General features: G+C 39.7%; 1 protein-coding gene and 1 long non-coding RNA gene across 25 annotated transcripts in view, besides 1 other annotated feature; one reads left to right on the top strand and one right to left on the bottom strand.

Annotated features, from left to right (window-relative positions):
- LOC100130256 (uncharacterized) overlaps positions 1-23,132 on the top strand; it is a 96,216-nt gene that overhangs the window by 47,473 nt on the left and 25,611 nt on the right. For 4 of the 14 annotated variants that reach the window (NR_187623.1, NR_187620.1, NR_187621.1 and 1 more), the window contains 4 exons: positions 14,560-14,613; positions 16,469-16,578; positions 20,591-20,818; positions 23,072-23,105. This is a non-coding gene — a long non-coding RNA (uncharacterized LOC100130256). Of the gene's footprint in view, positions 1-9,894; positions 10,013-14,559; positions 14,614-16,468; positions 16,579-19,652; positions 19,794-19,891; positions 20,050-20,590; positions 20,819-23,071; positions 23,106-23,132 lie in introns of all 14 variants that reach the window. The other 10 variants (NR_187629.1, NR_187626.1, NR_187622.1 and 7 more) reach the window with 8 other exon arrangements.
- The window catches only part of MYO3B (myosin IIIB), a 477,021-nt gene continuing 463,256 nt past the window's right edge, over positions 9,368-23,132 (bottom strand). For 9 of the 11 annotated variants that reach the window (NR_045682.2, NM_138995.5, NM_001083615.4 and 6 more), the window contains 3 exons: positions 12,801-12,907; positions 12,381-12,427; positions 9,368-11,552 (listed from right to left, as the gene is read on the bottom strand). Coding sequence is in view for 8 of the 11 variants with exons in the window: in NM_138995.5 (NP_620482.3) it covers positions 11,414-11,552; positions 12,381-12,427; positions 12,801-12,907 (293 nt within the window). In the remaining 3 variants the exon portion in view is untranslated. Of the gene's footprint in view, positions 11,553-12,380; positions 12,428-12,800; positions 12,908-17,595; positions 17,627-23,132 lie in introns of all 11 variants that reach the window. The other 2 variants (NR_045683.2, NR_045684.2) reach the window with 1 other exon arrangement.
- Positions 12,280-12,825: an enhancer, noted in NCBI's record as "NANOG hESC enhancer chr2:171508220-171508765 (GRCh37/hg19 assembly coordinates)". NCBI's record gives its function as "activates a minimal SCP1, AML or CMV promoter by ChIP-STARR-seq in primed H9 embryonic stem cells {active_cell/tissue: H9 hESC(primed)}" and the evidence as "EXISTENCE:reporter gene assay evidence [ECO:0000049][PMID:30033119]".

Below are 23,132 nucleotides of genomic sequence, written 5' to 3'. Positions count from 1 at the left end.
TTGCTTTGCCATTTCTTATTGTAAATGTCTGTGCAGGTGTCACATCTCCCCTCCTATGCTGTAAGCTCCTGGAGCAGCTCCACAACAGTGTCTTAAAACAATAGTATCTGGTTGGGCACAGTGGCTCATGCCTATAATCCCAGTACTTTGGGAGGCCAAGGCGGGCGGATCATTTGAGCTCAGGAGTTCAAGACCAGCCTGGGCAACATGGTGAAACCCCATCTCTACAAAAAAATACAAAAATTATCTGGGCATGGTGGTGGGCGCCTGTAGTCCCAGCTACTAGGGAGGCTGAGGTGGAGGATCATTTGAGCCCAGGAGGTGGAGGTTGCAGTGAGCCAAGATTGTACCACTGCACTCCAGCCTGGGTGACAGAGTGAGACCCTGTCTCAAAAACAAACAAACAAACAAACACAAACAGAAACCCACAGTAGAATCTGAAGAATTGTCATGAGGCATGGCACAAATAATTTATTCTTAATAACAGTTCCAAGTACAATGGCTTTACTGTAAGAGGGGGAATTACATGGTATGTGAATAATATTTCGAAACAGTTGTTATAAAAATAATAGTTCAAATCCTAATATTTAGTTATTTATCTATTTTTTTGAGACAGGGTCTCATTCTGTCTCCCAGGCTGAAGTGCAGTGGTGTATTCATGGCTCACTGCTGCCTTGGCCGCCTGGGCTCAAGCAATCCTTCCACCTCAGTCTCCTGAGTAGCTGGGATTACAGGCACGTGCCACCATAACGGTTAATTTTTAAATTTTTGTAAAGACAATCCCACTGTGTTGCCTAGGATGGTCTTGAACCCCTGGGCTCAAGAGATCCTTTTGCCTCAGCCTCCCAAAGTGCTGGGATTACAGGCATAAGCCACCATACCCAGACTGAATCCTAATATTAACAAATGATTTTAAGTTACTTAAAAATAATTTTAGGCTGGGCGCGGTGGCTCATGCCTGTAATCCCAGCACTTCGGGAGGCCGAGGCGGGTGGATCACGAGGTCAGGAGATTGAAACCATCCTGGCTAACACGGTGAAACCCCGTCTCTACCAAAAATACAAAAAATTAGGCGGGCGCGGTGGCGGGTGCCTGTAGTCCCAGCTACTCGGGAGGCTGAGACAGGAGAATGGCGTGAACCCGGGAGGCGGAGCTTGCAGTGAGCCAAGATCTCGCCAGGGCACTCCAGCCTGGGTGGTAGAGCGAGACTCCGTCTTAATAATAATAATAATAATAATAATAATAATAATAATAATAATAATTTTAAGCAGGACCTGGTACAACATGGCAGATATAGCATGCACGCGTTTATCTCCTCAATTTCTCCAGAATTTTCTCCTCAGTTTCATCTTTAATCCCAATACTTTGGGAGGCTGAGGCAGGAGAATCGCTTGAGCCCAGAGGTTTGAGACCAGCTTGGGCAACATAGTGGGATTCTGTCTCTACCAAAATTTAAAAATTGGCTGCTCTGGTGGTACATGCCTGTAATTTTAATCATAATAAATAAGAACGAAAGAGAATAAGCTCAAAATAGTGATAAGACTGGAAGAGGAACTGATCAAGGGAAGGCAGATTTCAACGTATTTCTGGAAGATGGCAAATGGATAGAAGAAGATACTTGCTTTTAGTAATAAAGAAATAGGTGATTCAAATTGGCCTCCTCGTGAAAATTAGGACAAAATTAAAAATATACCTTATTGTAGGCATTGGAGAGGTAGCAAGAGAGTAGGGAAATATTGAACCCCAAGGTCTAGTAGAAGACAAAATTCTTTTTTTCTTTTTTCTGAGATGGAGTCTTGCTCTGTTGCCCAGGCTGGAGAGCAGTGGTGTGATCTCGGCTCACTGCAACTTCCACCTCCCGGGTTCAAGCAGTTCTCCTGCCTCAGCCTCTCGAGTAGCTGGAATTACAGGCGCACGCCACCATGCCCGGCTAATTTTTGTATTTTTAGTAGAGATGGGGTTTCACCATGTTTGCCAGGCTGGTCTCCAACTCCTGACCTCGTGATCTGCCCGCCTCTGCCTCTCAAAGTGCTGGGATTACATGCGAGAGCCACCGCACCTGGCCAGAAGACAAATTCTAAGAGGAGAGTTCTGGGAGGCATCTGCCCATTCCAGAAGAGGTAACTAAGAAGCTGTGAGGCTGAGCAGTGTGGGGCCAACAGGACAAAAGTTGAAGTCTTAAATATCTACCCCTCAACACACTTACACTTTGACTTAGGATCACAAAGAGCTGCACTGTAGGAGATAGTGAACCAGAGAGTGAACTGCTCTTAGAGGAACTGCAGGCCAGTTTCAAATAATTACAGCTCTGAAGTTGGATTAAAGTGATCCTGACTTACTCATGCCCCCAGCAAATATAACTATATTACTATTTTATGGAGGAATGGAATATTATCCTGGGCCTCCAATTATCTTTACAAATAATTTTGCAAATGCAGTTTCCAGCATGCAATAAACAAATAACCAAGAAAGTAAGAAAACATGAATAAGAACCACATTATAGTAAAAATGCTAAAAACCAAAGGAAGAGAAAACCTTAAAAGCAGTCAGGGAAAAAGACTGATTATCTTCAAAGGAACAACAACTTGACTCACAGCTGACCTTTCAGCAGAAACAATGAGAACTAGAAGATAATGAAGTACAATTTTTAAGGTGATAACAGAAAATAACCACCAATATAGAATTCTGTACCCATCAAACACATCTTTCAAGAATGACAGTGAAATAAAGACATTTTCTGTTAAACAAAAACTTAACAGCAGCAGAGTCACGCTAAAGGAAACACTAAAGAATGTTCTTTAGGTAGAAGAAAATCTATCCCAGAATAGTAGGTCAGAGATGTGAGAAGAAATGAAGAGTAATGTAAACAATAATAATGATGTCTTATGTGACTTGCAATAGCTACAAAATTAAATATACCACAACAGTGGCAAAATAAGAAGGAATATATATATATATGTGTGTGTGTATATGTATATATGAACACACATATGTATATGAACACACACATAGAAATATAGGTAGTGTATTGAGGTCCTTCAATTCTGGAATTGTCTAGGTAGAGAGTAAAAATACAAATAATATTAGATGACTATTATTGGATTACTATTATTGGATAAGTTAAGGATGCATACTGTAATTTCTTGGGTAGCCACAAGAGAATGATGATAAAAGTGTTTGTATGCACCTAATAATGTATTATAGTTTTAAAATGTACTAAAATTTTACAAAAATTGGCTGGGCACTGTGGCTTATCCCTGTAAACCCATGTAATCCCAGCACTTTGAGAGAATGAGAGGGGCAGGATTATTTGAGCCCAGGAGTTCAAGACCAGCCTGGGCAACAAAGTGAGAGTCCCGTCTCTACACACACACACACACACACACACACACACACACACACACACACACACACATACACACACACATACAGTTAGCTGGGTGCAGTGGCGTGTGCCTATAGTCCCACCTACTTAGAAGGCTGAGGCAGGAGGATCTCTGAGCCCAAGAGTTTGAGGCTGCAGTGAGGTATGATTGCACCACTGCACTCCAGCTATAAAGTCTCAACAAATTTCAGACTTGAAATCATTACTGAATTGTTCTCTGTTCGTAATGCGAGTAAGCTAGAACTTAATAACAAAAACTAAGTGACAATCAGGATCACAGATGATAAAGAGGATCTTACAGTAGGTTGTACAATATTAAAAATATCTAGCCCTGTGATTTGGTTTGATTAAAAGAATGTGGTGGAATTGTCAATGTAGCACTTCTGAGAATAAAGAGACCTCTTTCTCTCCCCTCCCTTCTTGGAGACTCTGCCACTGCCACTGGGAATAATAGTAACTTGGAGCTTGAGACCATGTAGAACAGAACTAAGTTAGCCCAGCTGTCTCTGCTGTGGCCCCAAGTATGTGAGAAACCCAGCCAAAATCAACAAAGCTGCTTAGCTGACTTGTAGCTAATTGCAGATGCACGAGTGAACCCTGGCAAGACTAGCTCAAATCAGTAGAAATACTCAGCCAACCCCTAGACTTGTGAGAAATATGTAATTGTTTTGGGTAATGTAGTAATAGGTAAATGATACAGGCAGTAAGCCAAGAAAAAACAAGGTATAAAGATTGAAAAGAAAAAAAAATCTGTAGTTATTTGCAGATGGTAAAATTATGTATACAGAAAATCCAAAGGTATCCATAGATAGACTATTGGAATTAATGAGTAAATTTAGCAAAGTTGTGGAACTCAAATGCTAAAAATCAACCGCATTTCCATATAACAGAAACAAATAGAAAATAACTAAAAAAACCTTTCAAATAACATCAAATCATATGTGGCACATAGAAATAAAACTAACAAAATCTGTGCCAAAATTCTCATGTAGAATTATAAATCATTAGCCAGATGTGGTGGCTCATGTCTGTAATCCCAGCACTTTGGGAGGCCGAGGCAGGTGAATTGCTTGAGTTCAGCAGTTTGAGACCAGCCTGGGCAATATGGCAAAACCCTGTCTCTACTAAAAACACAAAAAATTAGCCGGGCCTGGTGGCATGTGCTTGTAATCCCAGTTACTCAGGAGGCTGAGGCAGGAGAACAACTTGAACCCAGGAGGGAGAGGTTGCAGTGAGCTGAGATCATGCCACTGCACTCCAGCCTAGGTGACAGAGCGAGACTCTGTCTCAAAAAAAAAAAAAAGTATACATCATTATTTAGAGACAAAAAGGAATAAATAACTAAATAAATGGAAGGATATGCCATATTTATGGATCGAAAAAGTCAATATTGTAAACATGACGATTCCTTTCAAATTCACTTATAAATTCAAGATAATTCCAAAGAAATCCCAATAGTTTTAACATTATTAGTATTATTTAGAGACACAGTCTCATTCTGTCACTCAGGCTGGAGTGCAGTGTACAGTCCAGAGCTCACTGCAGACTTCCTGGGTTCAAATGATCCCCCGACCTCAGCCTCCCAAGTAGCTGGGACTACAAGTGCACACTACCATGCCTGGTTAATTAAAAACTTTTTTTTGGCTGGGCATGGTGGCTCACACCTGTGATCCCAGCACTTTGGGAGGCCGAGGTGGGAGGATCACAAGGTCAGGAGTTCAAGACCAGCCTGGCCAACATGGTGAAACCCCATCTCTACTAAAAATACAAAAATTAGCTGGGTGTGGTGGCGGGCACCTGTAATCCCAGCTACTCAGGAGGCTAAAGCAGGAGAATTGCTTGAACCTGGGAGGTGGAGGTTGCAGTAAGCCGAGATTGCGCCACTGTACTCCAGCCTGGGTGACAGAGCGAGGCTCTCTCAAAAACAAACAAAAAACTTTTTATTGTAGAGATGGGGTCTCACTATGTTGCCCATGGTGGTCTCCAACTCCTGGCCTGAAAGGATCCATGCTAGTATGCCTGACTAATTAAAAAAAATTATTTTTGTAGAGATGGGGTCTCACTATGTTGCCCAGGGTAGTCTCCAACTCCTGGCCTGAAGAGATCCTCCTGCCTTGGCCTCCCAAAGTGCTGAGATTACAGGCATGAGCCACCATGCCTGGCCCTCCAACAGCTTTTGTTTTTCAGATGTTAACTGATTCCATAATATACATAGGGCCCAGACTAATGGGAAGTTTCTCTTGGAGAAGAAAAACAATGTTGGAGGCCTTTTGTTGCCATATACTGAAGCCTATTATAAAGGTATAGTATTTAAGACAAGGAAAAACAAATAAATCAATGAACAGAATAGAGAATCTGGAAACAGACCCATGAACACTTGACTTACATAAATGGTAGTATTTTACAGCAGTAAGAAAATAATGGCCTTTTTATTAAATGGGGCTGAGACAATTGAATAACCCTATAGAAAACATGAAAATTGACCCTCACTGCACACCATTCACAAAATCAATTTTGGGGAGTTGAGGAGCTAGATGTGAAAGGCAAAACAATAATGCTCCCAGGAGATTCTAAAAGCAAGTATTTCTGTGGCCTTGGGGTAGGAAAAGTTTTTTGTTGTTGTTTGTTTGTTTGTTTTGAGACAGGGTCTTACTCTGTCACCCAGGCTGGAGTGCAGTGGTGCAATCACAGTTCACTGCAGCCTTGACCTCCTGGGGCTCAAGCAATCCTCCCACCTCAGCCTCCCGAGTAGCTGGGACTACAGGTGCATGCCACCACACCCAGCTAATTTTTGTAGTTTTGGTGGAGACTGGGTTTTGCTCAGTCTGGTCTCGAACTCCAGAGCTCAAGCAATCTGCCCACCTTGGCCTCTTGAAGTGCTGGGATTATAGGTGTGAGCCACCAGATTTCTTAACAGACCATAAAAACATACTAATCAAAAAGGAAAAGCTGGGTGACAAAATAATCTGTACAACAAGCCCCCATGACATGAGTTTACCTATGTTACAAACCTGCTCGTGTATCCCAGAACGTAAAATAAAAGTTAAAAAAAGGAAAAGATTGATAAATTATACCACATTAAAACTACATACTTTTTTCTCATCAAAGGCACTTTAAAAGAATGAAAGCGTAAGCTGCCTAGTGGAGAAAATATTTGCAACACATATGACTGACATATAATGTGTTTCTTCACATTAAAAGAAAAAAATGGTTAAACTAATTCAAAATGGTCATGTTATAAAAGTTATCTAAGTTGGGCACAAAATACATAAAATGTGCCCAGTATCATTATTAATGAGGGATATATAAGCTATAATCACAGTGAGATTCTGGGATTCAGCACCCCATCAGAGTCCCCAGATGACAGGCGAAGAGTTGGCAAGAGTTGGTGAGAATGCAGAATGGGAGCTCTTTTATACCACTAACAGGATTGTAAATTGGTATGACTACTTTGCAAAACAGTTTGGCATTCTGTACTGAAGTAAAGATATGTATACCTTATGACTCTGCAACTCTCATCTTAGGTATATAGCCAACAGAAAACCATGCAAAAATAGACACCAAGAGATAGATACAATAATGTTCACAGCAGCAAGTTCTAAAATAGCCCCAAATTGGAAAAAATTCATATTCATCCATTAAAAGTAGAATGACTGGCCGGGTGCGGTGGTTCATGCCTGTAATTCCAGCACTTTGGGAGGCTGAGGCTGGCGGATCACCTGAGGTCAGGAGTTCGAGACCAGCCTGGCCAACATGGTGAAACCCCGTCTCTACTAAAAATACAAAACTTAGCTGGGCATGGTGGCAGGTGACTGTAATCCCAGTTACTTGGGAGGCTGAGGAGGCAGGAGAATCTCTTGAATCTGGGAGGCGGAGGTTGCAGTCAGCCGAGATCACACCACTGCACTCTAGCCAGGGTGACAGAGTGAGACTCAGTCTCAAAAGAAAAAAAAAAAAAAAAAAAAGGTAGAATGACTACATCAATTATGTCATATTCTTCTACTAGAATACTACACAGACATGAAAATGAGCAAACTACATTTACATTCCATGACATAGATGAACCTTGCAAATGCAACATTGAATGAAACAAGACCTAAAAAATTATTTACTGTAGGATTCCATTTATATAGAGTTCTCCAAACCTAATTATGAGGCAAAACCTAACTATAGTGTTTAGGAATGCATGTAAGTATAAAACTATAAAGACAATCAAGGAAGTGTTTACCAATAAAGTCATGAGAATGTTTATCTTTGGGGAGGCACAGACAGGAGTGGTAATTGGCAAGAGCCTGGAGAGAGGCTTCTAGGTGCTAACAATGCTCTGTTCTAGACGGGAGGATGGTTACATGGGCGTTGATTTTCTGATAATTTATTGAGCTCAGTCTTCTGATTTGTGCCCTTTTCTGGATATGTATTATATTTGAAAAGAAAGTTTGGGCCGGGTGCAGTGGCTCACACCTGTAATCCCAACACTTTGGGAAGCTAAGGCAGGTGGACTGCTTGAGGCCAGGAGTTTGAGACCAGCCTGGGCAACATGGCAAAAACCCATCTCTACTAAAAACAGAAAAATTAGCTGGGTGTGGTGGTATATGGCTGTAATCCCAGCTACTCAGGAGGCTGAGGCACAAGAATTGCTTGAACCCGGGAGGCAGAGGTTGCAGTGAGCTGTGATTGCGCCACTGCACTGCAGCTGGAGTGACAGAGCAAGACTCTCTGTCTCAAAAAAAAAAAAAAAAGAAAAAAAGAAAAAGTTTAAAAAAAGTAGATGAAGGCATATCTGCAAATGACCAAAATGGAAGAAGCAGCAGCTCAAAATATGAACACTAAATATCTGCAGTGGAACTTTTAAAAAATGTCCTACTCCCAGAATCATTTCTGTTTGACTTGACATTGTTCAGTCTGCTGGTTTTCTTATTTTACTTATTTTTATTTTTTTTTTAGATAGAGTCTTGCTCTGTTGCCCAGGCTGGAGTACAGTGTGGCGATCTTGGCTCGCTGCAAACTCCACCTCCCAGGTTCAAGCGATTCTCCTGCCTCAGCCTTCCTAGTAGCTGGGATTACAGGCATGTGCCACCATGCCTGGCTAATTTTGTATTTTTAGTAGAGATGGGGTTTCTCCATGTTGGCCAGGCTGGTCTTGAACTCCCGACCTCGGGCAATCCACCTGCCTCGGCCTCCCAAAGTGCTGGGATTACAGGCATGAGCCACCGTGCCAGGCCAAATCTACATTTTTCATAAGGGGGAGATTAAATATTGTCTAAAATGACAAATCAAGAAGATAGAAGCAAATTATTCAGAGGCATGCTAGCAACCGTTAGAAGAGTTGGAAATAATTTTAAACAATGATTGCTTCCTGGAGAGAGGCACATGGAGAAGAAGACTGCTCTCCACTATAAACCCTCTGGACTATTTGATTTTTGTCACGTGCATATTACTTTGATAAATCTAATAAAAGTTACAAGATTCCAGGTTGCATCATTCTCATCTGCTTGGTTTAAGAATTGCTTTTTGAGGCCGGGCACAGTGGCTCACGCCTTTGATCTGAGCACTGTGGGAGGCCAAGTCGGGCAGATTACCTGAGGTCGGGAGTTCGAGACCAGCCTGACCAACATGGAGAAACCCCCGTCTCTACTAAAAATGCAAAATTAGCTGGGCGTGGTGGCACATGCCTGTAGTCCCAGCTATTAGGGAGGCTGAGGCAGGAGAATCTCTTGAACCCAGGAGGTGGAGGTTGCAGTGAGCCGAGATCACGCCATTGCACTCCAGCCTGGGAAACAAGAGTGAAACTCCATCTCAAAAAAAAAAAAAAAGAATTGCTTTTTGAGTTTTGGTACTGTGACTAGCCCAAGAATAATGTCTACAGTCCGTCTTCTCTATACTGTGACTGAAAGTGAACATCATTTCTAAAGTACTCTTAGGAGTATGGCTGTATTAATGACTTAACTATGCAGAGCTTCTGGATTATGATTCCACAATTACTTCTGTTTTCTTTTTAAGTTTATTTATAGATATATTTAAATGAGAAACAAGCCAGGTTTAGAATTACATTGTGCACGGACAAGCAGGGAGTTATGAACATTTCCATTCAACAATTTGAAAAGCAGCTCATATTATCAAACCAAAAGTAGACAATCAGTGACAAAAGTGAAACTTCCAAAAGCACTCGTATATTAACAGTAACATAAAAAATTTATATATTCTACACATTATTTTTTAAACAATAAAATAAAATTTATCTGCATTTTTTCTGCTCTACTTATAAACATTACCTTTTGGGTGAAGTTCAGCTATTGAAAAATTGGCTATATTTATTTTACTTGTAAAATTACAATTTCTGAGATCTTTAAATACCTCATTTCATTATTTATCTTCATAAAAGGCCTATTAATGTGCTCCCTTTCAAAACTCTGATAACAAGATTTTCTTCAAGGTTATTTCTCTCAAAATTTAGGTGTCTTCTTGCATACTATCTCTTTTTTTTTTTTTTTTTTTTTTTTTTGAGACAGAGTCTTGCCCTGTCGCCCAGGCTGGAGTGCAGTGGTGCGCTCTCAGCTGACTGCAACCTTTGCTTCCCGGGTTCAAGTGATTCTCCTGCGTCAGCCTCCTGAGTAGCTGGGATTACAGGTATGCACCACCATGCTGGGCTAATTTTTGTATTATCATTATTTTTTTTAGTAGAGACGGGGTTTCACCATGTTGGTCAGGCTGGTCTCGAACTCCTGACTTCATGATCCGCCCATCTTGGCCTCCCAAAGTGCTGGGATTACAGGCCTGAGCCACCGCACCCGGCTTTTCTTGCATACTATCTACCACATATTTTAGAGTAAGAAAAATATTAAGAACATCTGTTCTAGAGAAATGGTCTTATAGGGCTTCTTTGTTTTTGATTACATCACACTGCAATTTGTCATGTTTTATATAAAGTAGGTGCTCAAAAAAGTTTGTCATACTGAATCATGTTGAGTATTATCTAACATCATTACAATATAATCAGCCCAAACTTGAGTGAAAAATCAGAGGTTATAGTGTATGAAAAGTGACTAATCATATGTAACATACAATTGAAGGTAACATTCCTGTCAGATATGCTTGTGTAACTTAGTTAAGTTTCTCCATGTATTCTCCATTCACTAGATATACCCTCTACCAAGCCCTGTGCTAGGCTCTGTGCACACAAAGATGGACAAGATCAGGTCCTTCCACTGTAGCCACTGATAGCCTCATGGAGTTATTTGACCAGTGAATGGAGAGTTACAGAATAAAGTGACCTGGACTTTCCCTGTCACCAAAGTGACAGGTCCAAACTTTCCCTCTCATTCCTTTCTTTTCATCACCAAAGTAGTGTGGGTGTCTTGGCAAGGTGAAATAAAGAGACAGAGGCTTTCTCAGCATCATAATTAACAAGAGAGGGGTTATTTGCCTTGTAGAAAGAATCTGAAAGATTTAGGCCTATCTGCCTAAACACAGGCAATTATCCTGTTCTAGGAGATCTTGGGGCCAATCCTCCAGGATGGGGCACTCAGCAATGGAGCCCTGACTCTGGGGGAGGTGGGAGTGATAGAAAAGCCCAGCAAAGGTGGGAGGATGGAGAAGAGTGCAGGAAAGGAACTCCTGGGTCTCCACTGGGGCAGATTCTGAATGGATTGAAAAGTAACTTGATAGGAAAAATCAAGCAATATTATCAGGGTCCATGATTAGACTGGGGTGAGACTGGCTGTTATCTTCCTAGACACTGGGGGCATGAATGACTGTTTAAACTATTGTAAAGGTGTTCTCAGTGTCCCACAGGGCCCCATGGGATGAGAAAGGAAGGCAGCGCCCAGCTCAGGCTGCACAACACATGTGGGAGAGTGGTAGAGGATAGGATAAGATGTTTTGGAATCTGCAAGTGGTTCAGTAAGGTTCAGGCATGGACCATATGTCCAAAGAAGCTGACCCCATATCAGTGCTTTCTTACGCAATGACAGACAGTCGATTACCATGAATGTTCCTACTCTGGACAGATTTAGGGTTAGGAAGCACAATTTAATGTTGAGCAAAAGAGTCTCCTTTTGAGGATGAAGAAAAAAAGGAAGGGTGGGCTGAGTTGTTCTCCTCAGGGATACAGTCCACTGGTGACAGAGATTTGTAATATTCATCTTCCCCATCAAGTACTTTGATTTGGCTGCAACAAAGAAAACAACAGGATTTTCAACAAAAAATAAAACAAATGTTACAATCATCACTGGGGCAGCTAAAGTCATGTGAGTAGCTGGAACAGGGTTGGGCTCCAACACTGGAGGGGAAGGACAGCTCCTAGGTAGCTCAGGGTCTCCCAGTACAGAGGTACCAGGGTCTGATCTACAAAGCCCTTCACCTTTGGGTCGTGCACTGATAGTGGGTCCAGTTTTGTGGTGTCTGGAAGTTGTGGTCGTATTGCAACTTGCTTTATGGGATTGAACTCTGTCTCCATCTGGTTCCCTCTAGATGAGAAAGTTTTCCTCCTGACCTCCCCCAATTCTCTAATTATTACCATTATGTACTTCATTGCTGTTCTCAATTGAGATGCTAACTATCAAATGAACGACAAATTCCTTACTATCCTCTATCTAACCAGTTGGGCATGTTTCTCCTTGTCCATGTTTTTAAGGCCCAGGGGTAGGATAATGTGGAGGAAGTGGCCTATTTGTACTTCGTAGAGTGCTCTTATTTGTGGAAGGAGAATTTTATATAACCCACTACATGTCTCTAATTATGAAGAAAGTACAATTCCCTGGAATAATTATGAGAAATAACATTTGCCCTTAGGTGACAATTTCAACCTTTTTGGACAGAATAGATTCAAGTTTTGTATACTTGCTACTGTGAAAAGTAATTTCCAATGTCAATAAGAGTGGCAATATCTGGATTGCATATTTTTAGAAGCCTCTCTGGAAAGTTTTGCATTTTCTGTAATATCACAAAGGACCCCTTCTGTTTACAGTTGCTTAGAACTAAGAAGACAGATATTTACCCAAGTTTTCTTGGCTTCCTCTTGCTCCCTTGATATTCTAGAGTTCCCTGTGGAGAGGGCCAAGAACACACAGTCAAAGCAAAGCAGCAAGTCGTTAATTTTTAATTCAAAGTGATTTTGTGTTGAATGCAAGCAGATGCTGATAATATCAGAAGTCACAGCATAATTTTTTTTGATCAAAGGGCTCAAGTGAGCCTGATGAAGCATGCATCTTGCTCGTCTTTGATAAACCACATCAATTATTCACCGTGAAGGCAGACATCCTGACATGAAAGCAACAGATAAAGAGCCTAAGCACATGTTCAAGACGAGAGCATGAGGGTGGGGGTGGGGCTGCAGGGGCTGGAACAGGTAGTAATAACAGAATTATTAACTGGAAACAAAGCCAGTGAAACAGCTTTACGGCCACTTTGAACTCACATTTAACTGGTTATAGTACATGGTGTCCTCAGGGCTACTCAGCATTTTGGGCTGCTGACATCGTCGGCGAGGTGTTCGATGCTTCTGTGCAAGACCATTTTCTGAACCTGAAAAAAGAGCAAAACTTTGCTGTAAACTGTCCGAGGTGTTGGGAAAATTAAGTGAAAAATGGCTCTTCACATAAATGCACTTAGTAGAAACTGTGTCCTATTTTAATGGGCATATTAAAAGCTTTACTAATATTAGGAGAAATGCCATCCTAAAAAATACACACAGATTGCTAAGTGTAAACAAGGGCCACTGTCTGTAACTTTGCATTCAGCTTTCTGATCTGAATCAGCAGTCCAGGGTGACAGAAAGCAAGTTGTTGTTTCCACATTGGTGAAGTATAAGTTGGTGGTCAGCATTTATAGAGTAGGGTGCCCTTAGTGGCATGACTATGTTAGGACAACCAAAGTAATCTGGGATTGTTTGCACCACATCCTGCAATGAGAGTTCAAAAACATCTGGAGCACACATACTCTTGGGGAGGTGAGAAGCAAACCTTTTGGTGGGATACATTTTGTCGGGGGGGAAATGGCTTGAGCTAAAATTTACTGAAATGCTTTGAACAATACCACTGATGCATGCAGTCTTTGGAGGTAGTGTAAAAGAGAAGGAGAAAGGATGATTGCACGATTACATGAAGCAGTCTCTCCCTGTTTGTCCTGATTTCAGAACCCTGGACCAAGAGTGCCCTGGAGATTAAGAAACCACGAGTCAGAAGAAGTCATAATTCATGGCTGGGCGCAGTGGGAGGCTGAGGCGGGTGGATCATGAGGTCAGGAGTTCGAGACCAGCCTAGCCAACATGGTGAAACCCCGTCTCTACTAAAAATACAAAAATTAGCTGGGTGTGGAGGTGCACACCTGTGATCCCAGCTACTCGGGAGGCTGAGACAGGAGAATAGCTTGAACCCGGGAGGTGGAAGTTGCAGTGAGCCAAGATCGTGCCACTGCACTCCAGCCTGGGCAACAGGGCAAGACTCCATCTCAAAAAAAAAAAAAAAAAAAAAAAAAAAAAGTCATAATTCATTTCCCTTCCAAGCAAATGATTTTTTGGATCTACTGTCCTTTTGGCTCTATATCTGAATCAGGATTCAGCAGTTCTAATTTCTTGGCAACACACACACAGACACACACACCTCTGTCATAGAATATTGTCCATGAATGTTGTTGTTTAGAGAAAAGCTATCACTATCCTGGAGGACAGAGTGTTTATTATAAACTATTCATTAAAAAGAGTTGGAGATTTTACTTGGTATCATATTTTAACTTCACCAGAGATTTCCACGATTTAAAAAAATTCTGGGGGAATTTTTAAAGTAGAGAGTGACTTAGCAAGGTCCATTATTAATACCAAAATATTTGTTCCCTAAGTATAAAGTTTTGTATCTTGATTTTTCTTGAATTGGGACAAATCTATATTTGGACAAGACTATCAGAACCCAGCCTGGCCAACATGGTGAAACCCCATCTCTACTAAAAATACAAAAATTAGCTGGGCGTGGTGGCGGGCGCCTGTAGTCCCAGCTGCTTGAGAGGCTGAGGCAGGAGAATCACTTGAACCTGGGAGGCAGAGGTTGCAGTAAGCCAAGATTGCGCCACTGCACTCCAGTCTGGGTGACAGAGTGAGACTCTGTCTCACAAAAAAAAAAAAAAAAAAAAAAAAAAAAAGACTATCACATCCATCCATTCTAAATACCCATTTTTTTTTTCAGAAGAGAAACTGAGGCCCATAAAATTGAATGGCTCATCTCAGATCAAGTGGCCAGGTGGGTACCCAACCCTAGATTTCTTACTTCTTGTTCCAATAGGTGTTTTGTTTTTTTTTTTTTTTACACTATAGCATATGGTCCTTTTTTTTTTTTTTTGAGATAGTCTCACTGTTGCCCAGGCTGGAGTGTAGTGGTGTGATCTTGGCTCACTGCAATTTCTACCTCCCAGGTTCAAGCTATTCTCCTGCCTCAGCCTCCCAAGTAGCTGGGATTACAGGTGTGCACCACCACACCCAGCAAATTTTTGTATTTTTTGTAGAGATGGGGTTTCATCATGTTGGCCAGGCTGGTCTCGAACTCCTAGCCTCAAGTGATCTGCCCTCCTCGGCCTCCTAAAGTGCTGGGATTACAGGCATGAGCCACCGTGCCCAGCTTATAAGATATTGCCTTTCTTAAGAAGAAATGTTTTTTAAAGTCAAAGGTTTAAGTAAAAGTAAGTTCGATGAAAAAAATATGTATTATATATTATATATTTTATATGTAATATATTATATATATTTTATATGTAATATTTTATATTTTATATTTTTATATAATATATTTATATTTTTATATAATATATTATATATTATTTTATATATAATATATATTATATTATTTTATATATAATATATATTATTTTATATATAATATATATTATTTTATATATAATATATTATATATTATTTTATATATAATATATATTATTTTATATATAATATATTATATATTATTTTATATATAATATATATTATTTTATATATAATATATTATATATTATTTTATATATAATATATTATATATTATTTTATATACATTATATATTATTTTATATATAATATACATTATATATTATTTTATATATAATATACATTATATATTATTTTATATAATATACATTATATATTATTTTATATATTATACATTATATATTATTTTATATATTATACATTATATATTATTTTATATATTATACATTATATATTATTTTATATATATTATATATCATATTTTATATATATTATATATATTTTATATACTATTTCATATATAATATATAGAATATAAACATATAGAATATATTCTATATATAATATAGAATATATTATTTATAATATTCTATATAATATATAATATGTATTATATAGATTATAGAATACATAGAATATATTATATTCTATATATAATACATTATATAGAATATAATATATATTTTACATATTATATAGAATATAATATATATTATATAGAATATAATATATATTATATAGAATATAATATATATTATATAGAATATAATATATATACATATTTTTTGAGACAGAGTCTCATTCTGTCACCCAGGCTAGAGTGCAGTGGCACGATCTCAGCTCACTGTAGCCTCCGCCTCAAGCGATGCTCCTGCCTTAGCCTCCCAGGTAGCTAAGATTACAGGCAGATACCACTACACCCAGCTAAGTTTTTGTATTTTTAATAGAGATGGGGTTTCATCATGTTGCCCAGCCTGGTCTCGAACTCCTGACCTCAAGTCATCTGCCCAGCTCAGCCTCCCAAAGTGCTGAGATTACAGGCATGAGCCACCATGTCTGGCCTCAATGAAAACATATTAATTAGCATAGCAAAACAATGTTGCTTGCAGAAGGTCCAACAGCCTTAACAGACATTTTCATCCACCTCTTCATGATCACTGTGCAGAGCACAGGAATCTAGCCTGTTGTGCTGGCAAAGTCCTCAGAACACAAAGAACACAGCGGTTCTTTCTGACGGTTCCAACATACCTCCTCCTTGTTTGCTTTGTGAAGTCCATACTCTGCAATATGGTAGAATGTGAAGCTGTGAGTCCCTTTTGTGTCATCTCCTTTCTGATTTATAGATCAATGAAGAGAAGTGTCCTTAGGTCCGGCTGCTGGTGTGAAGTATGCTCTGGAGGTCTGACATCCACTCTCCCTCAGACTTTCTAATACGGCAGGAATTCCGTCCATGGTAACTCAAAAGACTGATCTTAAGAAGTTTTTGGGTTCAACTAGAGTTCAGCCTAGTTCAGCTGGACTTCATATTTATATAGTGTTTACATTTTATCAGAGGTTTTTATTTATATTGTCTCAACTGGTAATGCTTTATATACGATATGATTTTCAACTTTTGTTCTTGACGAACTTGCTGTTTCATTGGCTTTTATTTTTTTCCTGATTCTTATAAGGAATTAAGTTATTGGATAGAATGTTCTTAATTTTAATATTTCTCCCATTACTTAAAAACAACTGTTGGTGTCTAATCTTATGGTTTCTACACTATACTAGAATCTGGTATAAGCTAGTTATCTGATTTAGCATCAGATTTTAATTTTCATTATTTTAAGTTTAATTTTTCCATATTTCACAATGTTCTGCAAAGAATGCTGTAACTTCCAGGTGCTTTGCCATTGGAAGAAATCTGAGTGTCACTGATACAATGATCCATTGTAAGCAACCGAATAAATAGTTGGGAAGTAGACCATTATTTAATAAATGCTACTGGAACAATTTAATGGCAATATGCAAAAATATAACTTAAATACAGACATATTAACATTTATCCTATACACAGTGTACTTTGCTGGATTTTGTGGAAAATACGAAGAGAAATAAGACAAAGTCCCTGTTTTCAATCTAGTAGAGGACACTGTTTTAAGATGTTAAGTGACTTCTTTAAAGCCGTTTAAGCTAGTGCTGTTGGACTCAAATTGTTTAGTTTTTAAAATTCTAAATCCTTTACTCTTCTCAATACATTTCTTGATTCTCACAGGCCACAATAAATTCGAGATGAGTTATATATTGAGAATTTTAAACATTCTCCAAAAAACTTTAGAAAGAAATGGAGTATCTCAGCTGTATAAGAAGACGTTAGTGACATGCATGCGTTTAATTATATTAAAGTAAAACGTTCCATATGATGGACAGTAACAAAACTAAGATGAAAGGAAGTACAACAGAAAGATAAAAACAATTGAAAGATATATACCCATAAAAGTTACATCCGTAATGTGGAAAGGCTGAGGCGAGAGACAGAGAAATATAGTTAGAAAACGAGATACTGAAAAATGTTGAACTATCCTGACGAACAGCTTCAATTTAACAATTGTTACTGCTTCTCTATTAATTCATACACCATAAGGTTAAAAGACAATGTGGGAGGGGCCCCAGAGAAACAGGACAATCCACAGGTTCCCTGCCTCCTGAAGTGCAACTTGGCAATAAACAGAGCTGGCTGGGCACGGTGGCTCACGCCTGTAATCCCAACACTTTGGGAGGCCTAGGCGGGCAGATTGCTTGAGCTCAGGAGTTCGAGAGCAGCCCAGGCAACATGGCGAAGTGCCATCTCTACAAAAAATACAAAAAATTAGCCAGGCATGTTGGCATGCACCTATGGTCCCAACTACTCCGGAGGCTGAGAAAGGAGGATCCCTTGAGTTCAGGAGGCAGGGGTTGCAGTGAGCCGAGATCGCGCCTCTGTACTCCAGCCTGGGTAATAGAGTGACGCTTGGTCTCCAAAAAAAGAAAAAAACCCAGAAAAAAACCCCCAGAACTAAGCAACTTGTTCCAAGGAATACGTTGCAATGAAGTAAACCAAAAGAAAAAAAACCCAATTTGTATGAAGACAGACAGACATAACACTTTTTTTTTTTTTTTGAGACAGAGTTTCGCTCTTCTTGCCCAGGCTGGAGTGCGATGGCGTGATCTCGGCTCACCGCAACCTCCGCCTCCCAGGTTCAAGCGATTCTCCTTCCTCAGCCTCCCTAGTAGCTGGGATTACAGGCATGTGCCGCCACGCCCGGCTAATTTTGTATTTTTAGTAGAGATGGGGTTTCTCCATGTTGGTCAGGCTGGTCTCGAACTCCCGACCTCAGGTGATCCACCTGCCTCAGCCTCCCTAATTGCTGGGATTACAGGCATGAGCCACCGTGCCCAGCCATAACACTTTTATAGCAGTAAAAAAGCTAGAAACATGATACATATTTAATAATCGAGAAGAAATTAACTCAGATATAAAAATTGTTTCATATCTTGAGTCACTGACAAAGCGGCGATAAATGTGTATGATGTTGACAGAAGAAAATTCAAAACTTGGAAAAAGAAGTAAAATACAAAATAACATATAGCACATTGACTAAATCTATGCTTGTACATGCATTAAGAAGTTTATCATGATTTTTCCCTTGAAAATTTAAATACTAAAAAATCAATAAGGCACATAGTACCAAAATTGTTAGTTCTTTGCATATATGAAGAAAGTATAACCAGAAAAGGCTAAATTTGTAAGCGGCAGAGTGAAAACTTGAACCCTGTCTTTTGGATTTTGGGCCAGTCAGTTTGCATTAAGATATAAAACAGTATGGTTATCGGATAGTTACCTAGTTCGTTTGATTAGTTTATGTAGAGAAACTGGGCAACTCAAGTTTGAACATTCACTTTTTTTTTTTTTTTTTTTTTTTGAGACGGAGCCTTGCTCTGTCACCCAGGCTGGAGTGCAGTGGCACGATCTCAGTTCACTGCAACCTCCACCGGGGTTCAAGCGATTCTCCTCCCTCAGTCTCTTGAGTAGCTGGGATTACAGGCACCCACCACTGTGCCTGGCTAATTTTTTGTATTTTTAGTAGAGATGGGGTTTCACCATGTTGGCCAGGCTGGTCTCGAACTCCTGACCTCAAGCAATCCACCTGCCTTGGCTTCCTAAAGTGTTGGGATTACAGGCGTGAGCCACTGCCCCCGGCCTGAATATTCACATTAGAATGTGAGTTTTTACTTTGAGGACCATAATGCTCATATTCTCAAAGTGGCTTATTTCTACCTCGCATAGATGCCCATGAGACAAACCAAACTCCCCACTTTGTCGTACATTGGCAACTACCTCCTTACTGGGCTTTTAAAGGTATATTATGTTATGAATACCAGTTTGCATTTAACATAGGTCTCTTTCCTTTTCAAGAATCTTTGCACCTCCCCCCAACCCCCTGCCCTGCACCTTCTGATTTCATATTTGAGAACTTTAACACATCTTTCTCTTCTGAATTGTTATAGAACTTTATAATAAACTGGAGCTAAATCTGTCAGAAAATGGAAGAAATCTGGATAGCATTTCAGGAGCACTGGCAAATGCCTACTCCTTACTTCCTAATCCCAAACTGTCACACTGTGGCTGCACATGTGCCCAAGCCCTTGGTGAGAGACAAATAGCTGAATTCAGTCAATCTGTCACATAAATTCAAACAACTGGTTTGTAAATTTAATTTTTCTTTTCTCTTTATTGAACATGCCAGTATACTCAAGCTAGAGTTGCCAGATGAAATGGAGGACATGGCTGGGTGCGGTGGCTCAGCTCGGAGCAGTGGCTCACGCCTGTAATCCCAGCACTTTGGGAGGCCGAGGTGGGCTGATGGCCTGAGGTCAGGAGTTCAAAACCAGCGTGGCCAACAAGGTGAAACCCTGTCTTGACTTAAAATACAAAAATTAGCTGTGTGTGGTGGTGTGCACCTGTAATTCCAGCTATTGGGGAGGCTGAAGCAGGAGAATCATTTGAACCTGGGAGGTGAAGGTTGCAGTAAGCTGAGATCGCATCATTGCACTCCAGCCTGGGTGACAAGAGTGAGACTTCATCTCAAAAAAGAAAAAAAAAAAAGACACACAGTTAGATAGATTTGAATTTCAGATAAACAACCAATAATTCTTTATTACATCCATGAAATATTTAAGACATATTAAAAAATGATTGGTTATTTGAGATTCAAATCTAGCTGAGTGTACTGCATTTCTATTTGTTAAATCTGGCAACCCTAATTCATGCACAGTTGTAAGTCACAAATGAGGCTTTTGTCGTCTTCCAAGGTTTCAGAGATGAAGAAGAAAATGTCTTCTTCTACTCCATTTGACTTGCTGAGTTGCAGCTATTTTGGCTACACATGCCCCCTCCTACGCTGTCCTCTAAAACTTAATGTTTCCATTTTCATCACCTGCTACAGATGTGCCAGTTCTGGTAAATTTCCTAGCAAGCTTGAAGGAAGTGAAGGACAACTGCAAGGAAGGGCAGGATGGAGCATGCAGCCCACGTATTCCCCAGCTTGGTGGGGCAGAATGCGTTCTTGGCTCCTGAGGAATGGGCAGGCAACGCACAGGGGTCCTGGGAAGAAAGGGAGAGAATATCCTGGGAGAGCCATAGACCCTGGCACCCTCCTGTGGTCCTTCATCAGGTACGGATACTTTCTGAGCTGTGTGATTGCTGATCTGATTGCCATTTTGTGGATGAGGCGTTCTCAGGTTCATTTGCCAAATGAAACATCCCCTTTAAGCAAACAGAGTGTTCAGTGTTCTAGATTTACAGATGGCAAATCCTATATGAGGTTATAAGCTATACCCCTGGGGCATTTAAATAGGATTAGAGTTGTGCAATTAATTTACAGAGCTCTGCCAACTCTGTGCATAAAGAAAGGTGCATCACTCCTCTGACCAAGGTTCTCAGGGCATTTGCAGGTGACAATAACCCAGCTGTCAGCTAGACAATCTTTCTTCTCAATGAGGGTTGACCATGCACATGGTACTCCAGTGGATACTCCCATGAAATAGCTTCTGAAGACATGACCTGTCTTTTCTGGCTCTCTGTCTCTTCCCCTAACCATTTCATTTTTATATAGCAACTCTTGTTTTGCAAAGTACTTTTTGTTTACTTCATCTCATTTTAGCAAGGCCAAATAACCCTAAAGAGATAACAGAGGCATAGTGAGACTAAGAGATTATACAGTTAGAGGCAAAGCCCAAATGAGAATTCAGGTTTTTGAAGTCCAACTGAGAGTATTTTTTAACATGATACCAGTTGTTCAACTTTTAAAATACTAATGCCCGGGTCAAAGCCTGGACATGGATTTTTTTTTTTTTCAAATCTCTTTGGGTGGTTCTACTGTGTAGTCAAGGTTAAGAACCATTGTGCTTGACCATATTAAATCTTTCCTTCCCAATAAGAACCATATCAGCAGAAAGTCTACCAATAATCTACATCACCTTAAAAATGAAGAAATGTATTGTAATCCCCTTGTCCCTAATATGCCTTGAGGCATGGACTATTTCAGGAATGCTCAGAGCCTAACAGATCCTCAGGTTATTGGAGACAGGGAAGTATGCCCTGGTAGCTCAGATTTCCAAATTTAAGTCATGTCATGGAGGAAAATTCTCTGTGGTCTGGCTCCTTGCTTTTATATCTGAGAGGTCTGAGGCTCAAGGAGCTTAGGTCCCTAAGCTATAACTCAAGATTCTTGATTCAAAATCCCAGGGCCTAGGTCATGGCCTCTATTATGATGCTTGTACTTTTGCTGAGACATTTTCATAAGTTTTCACTTCACCAAGTCTAACTTCAGGAGGAACTAAGGAATTCAGTGGGCTTTTGTAAAACACATACACACACAACCAGAAAGAGAGATTTTCTCCTGGGGTGCATGTAATTCAGATCCTGCTTTTTAAGATGAAAGGAAAGCTACAAATTTTCCCACTTGCCATGTTATGTCATGAACAATCTTCTTCAAAATTGCAAAACTGCTACAAAGAAAACATCCCTGAGCTAAATTAGTGCCTGTGGAAGATGCTGGAGTTATAAATTGTCTATGTGGAATTTTCTACTTATTAGTTAAGGAGGTGGCAATAACTTCCCCTGAAACCAATAGCTCAGAGCCTGGCACACTCTCAACAAATGACGAATGAATGAAGAATGAATGAATGAATGAGTGAATGAGTGAATACTGACTATTCACCATTCTTATTAAGATCTCTTCCATCTATGTGGCCTATTCTTTGGTTCTCAGACGGTTAATTGGGATGTTTTTGTCCAGGCTTCCAATAGGAAGAGGGTCTTTCGTATCCTGGGATACCTCTGGGGAAACTGTCCAGAGGCGTTTCAAAGAGGTAGATGAAATCAGTCTCTAAAAACAAAGTTCCTTAGTATTTTTTATTACTGTCCTTTCAATATCTTTACAGGAATATGTATTCTTTTTTTTTTAACTAAAAAATTCATTCATTCATTTAATTTGGGTTATGGCTCCCCGCCCCTCCCCCCCCCCCCCCACTTAACAATAAAGTCATAAATATTTCCATTCTATTAGGCAACTTTTAAAATAGTATGTTTCTTTTAGAGTTACTTTTTGAAAAGGTAATAAATGAACCTAATGTTCAAATAAGTTAAGCAGTGAAAAGTTTGTCTTTTTTCCACACCCAATCTCATTCCCACAATAGTAGTAACTGCTGAGACAAGTTTCCAGAGATATCTGTCTTCCAGAGATAGCTTAAATGGTATCACTTCTAATGCTTGCATGGTATTTCATTTTATGGATGAATCATGATTAATTTATATAATTTCCTATTTTGGTCACAGAAGTTGTTTCCAATGTTTTTCTATAATAACAGTGCTTTGAGGAACATACTCATAGTTTGGTGTTTGACAAATGTTCCTTATTCCTTAGGATAAATTTCTAAAAGAAGAATTACTGGCCAAAGGTATGCATATTTTAAAAACTTATGATT

Source organism: Homo sapiens, chromosome 2 (genome assembly GCF_000001405.40).
Source record: "Homo sapiens chromosome 2, GRCh38.p14 Primary Assembly".
Taxonomy (NCBI): domain Eukaryota; kingdom Metazoa; phylum Chordata; class Mammalia; order Primates; family Hominidae; genus Homo; species Homo sapiens.
Note: the sequence above shows the minus strand (reverse complement) of the source record. Positions and strands in the feature narration are given on the sequence as shown.